At 39.4% G+C, this 10,480-nt stretch overlaps 1 protein-coding gene across 30 annotated transcripts in view; it reads right to left on the bottom strand.

Annotated features, from left to right (window-relative positions):
* The window catches only part of MTFR1 (mitochondrial fission regulator 1), a 134,710-nt gene that overhangs the window by 65,153 nt on the left and 59,077 nt on the right, over positions 1 to 10,480 (bottom strand). For 15 of the 30 annotated variants that reach the window (NR_182101.1, NR_182102.1, NR_182100.1 and 12 more), the window contains 4 exons: positions 8,517 to 8,752; positions 6,190 to 6,436; positions 5,435 to 5,603; positions 2,884 to 4,470 (listed from right to left, as the gene is read on the bottom strand). Coding sequence is in view for 26 of the 30 variants with exons in the window: in NM_001413068.1 (NP_001399997.1) it covers positions 4,402 to 4,470; positions 5,435 to 5,603; positions 6,190 to 6,436; positions 8,517 to 8,752 (721 nt within the window). In the remaining 4 variants the exon portion in view is untranslated. Of the gene's footprint in view, positions 1 to 2,882; positions 4,471 to 5,107; positions 5,604 to 6,189; positions 6,437 to 8,516; positions 8,753 to 10,480 lie in introns of those variants that run through there. The other 15 variants (XM_006716484.3, XM_047422463.1, XM_011517626.3 and 12 more) reach the window with 3 other exon arrangements.

Here is a 10,480-nt window from a genome sequence, read left to right as displayed (position 1 = left end):
GTGTGTTTGAGATGGGAGTCTCCGTTGCCCAGGCTAGAGTGGAGCGGTGTGATCTTGGCTCACTGCAACCTCCACCTTCCAGGTTCAAGCAGTTCTCCTGTCTCAGCCTCCCGAGTAGTTGGGATTACAGGTGTGCACCACCACGCCTGGCTAATTTTTGTATTTTTAGTAGAGACAGGGTTTCACCATGTTGGCCAGGCTGGTCTTGAACTCCTGACCTCAGGTGATCCACCCGCCTCAGCCTCCCAAAGTGCTGGGATTATAGGCGTGAGCCACGGCACTCGGCCACTCCTGTTTTTAATATTAGATTTCTTGTTGGCTATAATTTAAAATTGAAGCACAGTGATGTAATTGGTTTACTGAAGCTTTCCACTGGTCCCATCAATAAGTCTTTGCCAAGACATTCCATCTTGTATTACAACACCTATCTTTAAGCTGTACATTTATTTACATGACATTTCGGAACACAGATTTGAAGTATTTATTGTTGAGCCATGTCCTGTAAAGCAGCAGGAGACTGTAATGATTTCCCAAGTTCCCTTAACTTAGTTGAAATCAGTAAAAGAAGTTACAGATCTAAAGATGAATTTTTTGAAGGAAATACTAGAAAGGATAGTGCTTCCCTTAGTCCACTCAGGCTGTTAGAACAAAGAACCAGAAACTAGGTGACTTATAAACAACAGTTATTTCTCACAGTTCTTGAGGCTAGAAATCTGAGATCCAGGTGCTGGAATGGTCAGTTCTGGTGAGCACTGTCTTTACAGCTTGTCAGACCTAGGTTTGGGTCCTTAGGCAGGTTACCTAATCTTCTGAGTGGCTCCCTAACCTATAACATGTCTGTTCCTTAAAGTAAAATTAACTATTGATATATGGTAAGTGCTAAATCAAAGGTTACTATGGCTATTCTTTTTAGTTCATTTCTTGATAATTTCTACTTATATAAACACATGGATACAATTGTACCTCATAACATCTTTATTTGAGCTCCTGGCACTGATTCACTCTAGAGGCTTCCTACTCAAATTCATGAGGGAGAACCTGATTGGAAAAGCTCATCAGGGCTGTGTCCTGGGTTACAGAGCAGTCTCTACATTACCAGGCGTGCCCCTTGCAGAAGGGAAGGCAGGGGTTGGGGGGATCTGGACAGCTCAGCCCCCGCGGTCAGTGCCTTATGCACTTCCCTCCCCTTGTACTCAATGCTAGTATTTCAGAATGATTTCCAACCATGCTCTAGCTGTATCCTTTTTCACCCTTAAAATGATACCTAGTTTCCACAACATAGTACCTGGGGAATACGCTTTCTTTCACCTTTCGATAAAAAGTGTATCTGGCTAATGAAGAGGGGTGACCATTAGGCAACATTAACAGAATGTTTTTATACCTTTGGTTAAAATCTTGTTATGAAGAGTCTGGCCTTTCTCCCCAAATTAAGGCTTTTCCAATTGGGTTATGGAGGACTGCCCTGGGATAACCATTTGGTATGATCAGGAGGCACTGTTTGAGCTGTCTTAACATTTACCCTCCTGAAAATGTCTAAAGGACACTTGTGTTCTACTCTGCCCTTATCGAAGGAGCCCTCTGTGACCTTAACAAGGGGCTGGAGAATGTATCAGAGAAGTTCCAGCTTTAGGAACATTAAGGCTTCTAGACCATATGAACTAGACTAAGGATAATAATAGTCTTGGAAGGAAGAAGTGTGCAAAAGTTATAGATCCTTACTTGGTTATGCTATTTTTATTATCCCATCCTCAAAGGATGGCTACCAAGACCAAGGAAGAGCTAGATTGTTTATAAGGTTTACAAGGCAAGTCTAAGAAGAATCCTAACAAATAGGATCAATAGGGTAGCAGAGAAGAATGCTAAATCTCTAGGATGAGAAAGGGAAAGAGGACACAGAAACAGGAACCTACTGCAATTGAAACCAAGTGCCTCATTCTATCTATCTGGCAATCCCAGCGCTGACTTTGTTGGGCGAACTCCTGAAAGTTTAAACTTCTGTCTGCCAGATTCTATCCCACAGAGAGAACTTCTATTTATTTCTGGGGAAGTTATCAGAACTATGGTTTTTTCAAAGTATTTGTTTCTGCTAGTTATTACCACGTGTATTCCTCTTCACCAGAGAGACAGACACATAGGCATTCCTAATACAGAAAGAAGACACAAGTCTTATGTAGAAGGGCCTGGGACTGGGGAAACAACCAGAACTAAAGACTGCAAGTCCTACCCCTCCTATGCCAAGCCTGCACAAGCAAGTGCATAGGATGATGCCTTTTACAGGTGCCAGGGACCACTGGAGAAATCATTTTATTGGAAACTACAGAGACCCTGTGTAAAATAATGCAAAAGTAAAGATAAATTATTTAACAGGGGATCATGTAAAGCTCCAAGTCCAGTGTTCTCTGACTCAGATCTTCCCATTCTGTCTTGTATTCTCTCTCTCTCTCTCTCTCTCTCTATATATATATATGAGAGTCCCTCAATCAGAACTCAGACAAAACATAGGAAAGTTAGTTACCTTTCTTTCTCATACCTAGCTGAGGTATAACTATTCTTAAGGTCTTTTACTTCAGGTGTTGTGTTGGGTGAAAGAACTAGAAACTGAATGACGTGGGTGTGGGAGAAGCTGGGAAGACAAATTTCACCAATCTCAGAAGTAGATTATGGGTTTGAGAACCCTGAGTCAACTGTGATACCTCATGACTGTCCTGTTTTAATGCTGAGATCTCTTTATATGAGAAAAAGTGAATGAGAGGTGATTTTAAGAGCTTATTTTAAGGAATATAATTCCACTTGAAAAATGCAGAAAGAAAATTATTCTAAAGAAGCTACGTGTGCAAAAGAATCTTACCTATTGTGAAAAAAGAAAAAATGGAAGCACTATGGTCCAAGGAAAATAAAACAGTTAGTTTGCTTTATTTTAAAACAGTAACTTCCTTATATGGGGGCACTGTCCAAAATTCAATACTGATACAAAAATATGTTTCTTTTAGGTCAAAATACGTTTCAGGTGAATTTTCTGAATTTTGTTAAAGAGAATTTTAAACCATATAAAACAGGTGAATGAGAGGTGAACATGAACATGTGTAACATAAGCCACAGTACAAATTTAAACAGAACAATCAAGCCATGTCATTTCCCCAAATCATTTTTGTTAATATTTAGGAGAATGCATATATTTTCAAGAACTTAAAAGTGAATCTCTACTCCCATCTCCTAATACTCCCAGCCAGGAAGTACAACTTTCTTCTTTTACTAGATTTAAATATTCCAAATATTACTCCTGGTAGGATACTCTGGTATTAACTATAGCTGAGTGTATCAGAAATAGAAAAACCATGAAGATTTATAAAGCATTTAAAAAATAATCATTTATAGCAAGTCCTTAAAAGCCCCAGATGAAAAAGGCAGTTCTCCACTTCTAATAACACCTATGGTTTATGTTGCGTAATATTATTAAACAAAACAGCATTCTGACCAATGATAATTTATAGGAAATTCATTTGCCAAGTCAATGTTTCATTAAAGTTAATATTTTGGCTTATATTAAAAAAATTTTTAACTCTATTAACTTAGCAAAGTCATCTTTATGATGCCATTTAATAAACTGAAAGGAAACAAGATGGTACATTCTGAGTTTTTACTTCTTAAGAAGAAATTTAATTCAATAATTTGATTCATCACTACTGGAAAACTACATCTTTCTTCCCTGTCAGTACTGGATGGCAATGACGTGAAAGCAGCTTTCCTGGTTCTCAACTTCCCTTCAATGGGAAGCATTATGGAATTTCAGCAGTGAACATCATCTGGTTCCTATTCAAACCCCAGCTCCAAGAAAATGTGAGAGAGAATCTAAGATATAAGTTCTGTTCAAGGCAAGAAGTTTCCAATCTCAAATATTTCATGCCAACAACTTATGTTATACCAGCTGTTCCATCATTGAATGCTAAATGATCATTGAAAACAAACGAAGATAACAGTGCCCTCGTTGCCATCATTCATTACTAATTTTACATAAACTGTTTATGTCCAAAAATATGCATATAAAACACTTATACAGATAAATTAGTGTTAAGAATTTAAAATGTGCAGTAACATCCACAAATGTCCTTTTTGTGTTGTGAAATCTATACAATTGTTTTCAAAACTGGAAATCTGAACGCCCTGGCCACATATTAGAAACATGTCAGAACACACATGTTGTGGAGAGCACCAAAGCTGACCATCTCACAAAAGCAAAACCAAACTTAGTGCTTTCATTATTGCTTAATCCACTAATTAGCCTGAAAAGAAGACCACTGAATACTAAAGAGGTATTTACTAAACAGTGTCGATTTCTACTAGCAAACTTGGCCCTCACAAATCAACAGGGGAACCAGGAGTCTTTTCGCAGCTCATTGTCTATTAGGAGTCTGATACATTTTCAATTAAAGCCTTCATTTTTCCTGTTGGCTTCAACATGTGTGGCCCAAACTAGAAACAAACAAAAAGTATAAATAAAGATATTGGTTCAAGTAACAGTAACGATACGCCCCCACCTCCCAATCATGGATTAGAGGGCTGGGTATGTTCTGCATGAAAAACCAAGCAACTACTGGGAATATTAAAACCTTTACAAATTGATGGGTTGTTATGAACACAGAACATATCAACAGAATGAAAGGTAAAGAAGTAGCCAAACTGCTTCCTCTAAATGAAAACTACAACCATCTTGGCAATACCCTGCTTTTGTTAAATTTTACTTCTCTGAGTAAAGAGAGAAAGTACAAAGTTTCCTTTCCAATGTCTTAAGAAGTTTCAAAGGTGCTGGAATTTCTGAGATGCCTGCCTCTCTGGAATAGATTAGCACACACACGCCCCAGGACAGTAATGTTAATAAAGGGAATGTATCAATTATTATGTGGGAGCTTCCATGAAATGTACCCAGTCTCCACCTTTGACATGGTACACATCCTCCAAGGCCCACATCAAATGTCACCCTCTTCAGAAGACTTTCACAGGGTGCCCTGAGAGAAAATGATCTCACTGTACTTTGAATTTCTATGTCACAAAATATACATTGTTACTATACTGAATTTCACTTCACTATGCTTAAATAAAAATATAACCCTGCATAGAAAATGTAACATTGGAGATTACTTAGTAGTGAGCTCAGGGGTTAACTTTGGCTTTCTTCTTTCTGCTCTTCTACAAGTTTCAAATTTCCAAATGAACAACTATTATTTTCATAGTTAGAAAAGTAAAAGTGTAAATGCTAAGCAAAGATGTCATCCTTTTCCCAACCAGCCGTGATCTACTTGTAAGGCAGGGACCAAATCCTGTATCACCTCCCTTTGGAACTTACAGATGACACAGGTGAATCACTTGCAAAATGCAAGTGCTTGGCAATGGGATGGATTTCTACATAACAGGAAAGAAATCTGGGCAAATAACTCACCAACACTCTCTCTGAGGTGGCCTCTGATTCAGACTTTGGAATTCCTTTTTCAACTTCATCTTGGCTATCACTTCGATACCGATAAGCAAATTTCTTTTTCAGAGCCTCTGCTATGAGGGCAGCAGGGTCAGTAGCATCCACTGGCTTGGGCTTCACATCTTGCTCTGACCTTAGAGAAGTGAACACAAACCAAGGGGACAGATCAATACACTGGCCACCCTCAGGGAAGTACTTTGTCAACCTTTTGCCTGACAGCACCTCTCCAGCATCATAGCTACTCCATAGAGACCTGATAAATACTGCTAGCATTGAGATGGAAGCCTAGAGCTAATGCTCAACAAAAGCACACAGAAGTCCAATAAAGGGCCATGTAATATGTCTGCAGAACATGGACTCTACTCTCCTTCAGGGCAAATAGAGTTCCCTGTTCCATGCATGTCTAGTGACTATGCTAGTGGTACACAGCACGCCTTTATTGAATTAGTGAATGCTCACTGAGCAACTGCAGTGAAGACTTTACATGAAAAGGCTGATATTTAAATAAAATGGGAAAACTAAAAACATCACCTGGGAAATGTTAGCTTATTTTGCTAATCTCTTAGCTACTGTGTATAGAAGCCACTGGGGCTCATCTTTTTTTTAAACTAAAAACTATTCATGGCAGTCATGTTATAAACAAAATTCCTCAAGAAGCCTGGTACTTTGGTTTTATAAGACAAACAAATGGGGAAGAAAGAAGGTGAATGTATCCTCACCTCTTCACTGACCGAAGTTTTACACTGTTCATCTCTTTAAGGATCTCTAGCATATTTGGCATTTCAGGTTTCTTTGGATTGTTCTTAACCAAAGTCTTTCCAGCATTGGCTCTTTTCTCTCTTCGTTCTTTAATCAGATCAACAGCAGATGTACTTTGGTGGAGCCCCAGTGCAGGGGGAGGCAGGGGCGGTGGGGGAGGTGGAGGGTGTGGTGGTATGGTACCAAATGTGGTAGAATCTAAGTCACCTACAGAAACAAAGGAAAACAAACTTAATCCCACTGGTATTAAGCAAAGAAAATATCAGTTTTTAAAAGCAAAATGATGTTAAAGATTTTTGTACCCCTAAAAACAATATTCTTAACGTTTCAGTTATGTAAGAAGCAAGACAGTTTCAGTTACTTCATGAGAAATGCCTGAATCTCAGCCACTGTATCATTCAATCCAAAACTATCCAGATGGAAAATTTCTATTTAACTTAACAGAGGTGTTTTTGTGATATCAAATGTTCAAGTTTGACTACAGCACAGTTTGTAATCACTTTTAACAGAAATATAAAACAAAGTACTGCAAAAACAAGTCTACATTACATACAATTTGACAATTTAGTATTATTTTAATGATTTGAGAAAACTAACAAATTTGTGACTCATTTTAAGTATATTTTCATATAAGACTTACTAAGCATTAAAAGCCTGCACTGGGCTGGGCTCAGTGGCTCACACCTGTAATCCCAGCACTTTAGGAGGCCAAGGCAGGTAGTTTGAGCTCAGGAGTTCAAGACCAGCCTGAGCAACACAGTGAAACCCTGTCTCTAAAACAAGAAGTAACTAAGAGTTATGGAAATGAAGTAAGGACCTAAAAATCCTCTTTCTGCATAACTGGAGGTTAGAAAGTTGTTTATTGGGTGAACTAGTTTGATTGGGGAGGTGTTGATGTAAAAGATTTTTACTCAAAAGTTTCAGCTTATAAATAGAGCTTCAAAATTATCTATTTATGGTAGCACTTTCCCAGTCAGCCAGAAGAGGGAGGTAAAGCAAAAGGAAAAATCAATTTAAGACAAGAAAAAGGTAGGAGTGGAGAATTTTAGCAAGTTACAGGCATAAGCACAGTCCAGCATCAGCGCCCAGAGTGCCTCCACCCCCACCCACCTCTGCCATGCCCAGGTCAAATGAGGTTTCCATGCTGGATTACGTTAAACTCCAGAAGTATAAGCCAAGTGGCTCAGAGGCAGGGTAATTAATTGTCCTTATCCAACAGAGCTGGTTAATACTGAGTCTTGCCAGGCCTTGGAAACAACAATAGGAAAATAACCACTACTTGCCAATAGGTTAGTGGGCTAGAATTTCAAGGCTATAGTTTCCTCCCCAATGTGAGAATGTCACACTAATAAACCCAATGGTGTTAGACCAGAAGACTTGAATTCAGGTTCTACTCTGTGCAAAAGGAAGAAGAATAACTATTAAATAGCTGCTTTGTGTTAAAGGCATTTTATATACTTTCCATATTTATTCTCACAATAACTCAGTAACATAGGTACTATTATCCCCATTTTAGAGCAGTAAAGGCAGGTGAGATGTCAAGTGCTTGCATCAAGACATGCAGGTAGTAAACACCACTCAGTCCAACACGTACCACACAGAAACCCAGGCTCCTTTCACCAAGTAGATAGCAACCCATGGCATTACCTCATGTCTGATATGGTTGGTGCCATTATCCTAGACAACTAAGTTTCCCATTAGAAAGGAAAGCATCCACTATATAGCAATTCAACTGTATGAATTCCAGTGTTTTCCAAAAGATACTTCCTAGTCATCTTCTCTGACAGCACCAAGATTGTTCAAAATGAACACCATCTAAACCTGACCTGGTTGTTGTTGGACTATGCAAAAAGGACTGACACCTGGTTTTTTTGTTTGTTTTTTGTTTAGTTTTGAGAAGAAGCCTTGCTCTGTCGCCAGGCCGGAGTGCAGTGGCATGATCTTGGCTCACTTGGTTCTCCACCCCCCAGGTTCAAGAGATTCTCCTGCCTCAGGCTCCCAAGAAGCTGGGACTACAGGCACATGCCACCACGCCCAGCTAATTTTTATATTTTTAGTAGAGATGGGGTTTCACCATGTTGGCCAGGATGGTCTCGGTCTCCTGACCTCGTGATCTGCCTGCCTCAGCCTCCCAAAGTGCTGGGATTACAGGCATGCGCCACCGTACCTGGATGACACCTGGTTTTCTAAGAACCCCAATAGCTGTTACTAATTGATTTTAAAGTAAGTAGCATTCTCCTAACTTCTAGTTTGCAAGTTAAAACTAACAAATGTAGGACTTACAGACCTGCAGTGAGATTTTGCTGCTCCTGCTGGGTCACAATTTTGGCAATCTGAGCTCTGAGAGCAGCAAGTTCATTTTCGAGAGCGCAAATCTTCTGCAGTGCTTCCTCATTTGCCAGCGCTGGGGTCTTCAGCTGAGGCTCTTCTTGAGACAAGTCTGGTAAGGAAATCTGTCTGCTTGGGGCCTTCTCAAAGAAAAGAAGGTCATCCTGAAGGGGTGGCCTTGATCTGACCTCTGTCCTGCAAGGAAGACATAAGGTGGGCTGTCACAGGCTTTGTAAGAGAACGTGAAACACCATCCTCACCTGACAGTGTATCCGCATTAACACCCAAGAACCTCTTTTCAGGCTGATCTTACATAAGTCCCTTCGTGTAAGGACAAAAACAGCAAAGCATTTGTCAACCTTATGTAGTTACATACCACAGCTGGGGTTCTTGCTGCCATCATTTTTCTTAGTCAATCTCTACATAATATGCACAAACCAACTCCATCAAGAGGCATCACAGATTTTAGCAAAGTTTTTGCTAATTGACGTTTTCTTTTGATTTGAACTAAGAAGAAGCTTTTTATGCCCTTCAAAGTGGTTATGTCTGAAAAGGATTAACTTTCTATATCTCCCCATACCTTGCATGATGAATTTTTATCTTTTTGCTTTTTTTACTGAAAATAAAGGACAAATTACTCTTTAATCTTGAACACTATTGTGCCAGGGTAAGAGCAAAAAAGTTTAGGACCTTTGACAAAACAATTTAATTAACAGTGAAGAACTGTACTTTATACTACTTTTCTGTCTTTAATTATATAATTCAGCATTTCCTTATGTGAAATACTTTAATATTTATGGGCTCAAACATAGTAATTATAGGACCTATGAAGGTTTAAGAGCCCAGATAGGGTTTCCCTATGTTGCCCAGGCTGGTATAACTCCGTGGCTCAAAGGATCCTCTAGCTTTGGCCTCCCAAAGTACTCGAATTACAAGCATGAGCCACCGAGCCCTGCGTTATTTTTTAAGACAGTCAACAAACCATTCATTCTTAAAACCAATCTGTTTTGCTATCCTTAAGAACAGAGGGCTATTAAGAACTAGATTACAAAGACAGAATAAATCCAAAATAAGGATAGACTCTTGCAAGAATTTTTGTAATTCATAGAAATTTTAAGAAATAAAAACAAATACAAAAACAAAAATAACAAAGAGGCCAGGTGGGGTGGCTCACACCTGTAATACCAGCACTTTGGGAGCCCAAGGTGGGTGGATCACCTGAGGTCAGGAGTTAAAGACCAGCCTGGGCCAACAGGGTGCAACCCTGTCTCTACTAAAAATACAAGAATTAGCTGAGTATGGTGGCAGGCACCTGTAATCCCAGCTACTTGGGAGGCTGAGGTACAAGAATCACTTGAACCTGGGAGGCGGCAGTTGCAGTGAGCCGAGATCACGCCACTGCACTCCAGCTTGGATGACAATGCAAGACTCCATCTCAAAAAAAAAAAAAAAAAAAAAAAAAAAAAAAACCAGAGACATCAAGCATGGATGTACCAAAAACAGAAGATAAACAGCCAAAGGGTGATGTTTCTCTTTTTGAGACAGGATCTCGCTCTGTTACCCACACTGCCAACTCCTAGGCTCAAGTGATCCTCCTGCCTCAGCTTCCTGAGTAGCTAGGACTATAGGTGCGTGCCACCCATGCCTGGCTAATTTTTTTCTTTTCTCTTTTTTTTAAGAGACAGGGTCTCACAATGTTGCCCAGGCTGGTCATGAACTCCTGGCCTCAAGCCTCCCAAAGTGTTGGGATTATATATTATGCAGGCCTGATATTTCTTCCTTTCCTTTTTTTTTTTTTCCATTACCTTAAACGTTTAACAGTTAACTGATGTTTCTTAAAACCATTTTCTGGATACCAATTTCTGCTAGTGAGATTTCTACTGGTTTCATTCATTTGTTTTGGTTATATTTTGTTTATATTGG

The sequence above is a fragment of the Homo sapiens genome, chromosome 8 (genome assembly GCF_000001405.40).
Source record: "Homo sapiens chromosome 8, GRCh38.p14 Primary Assembly".
In the NCBI taxonomy this organism is placed as follows: Eukaryota; Metazoa; Chordata; class Mammalia; order Primates; family Hominidae; genus Homo; species Homo sapiens.
The sequence above is the reverse complement of the archived record's forward strand: the minus strand, read 5'-3'. Positions and strand labels throughout refer to the sequence as shown.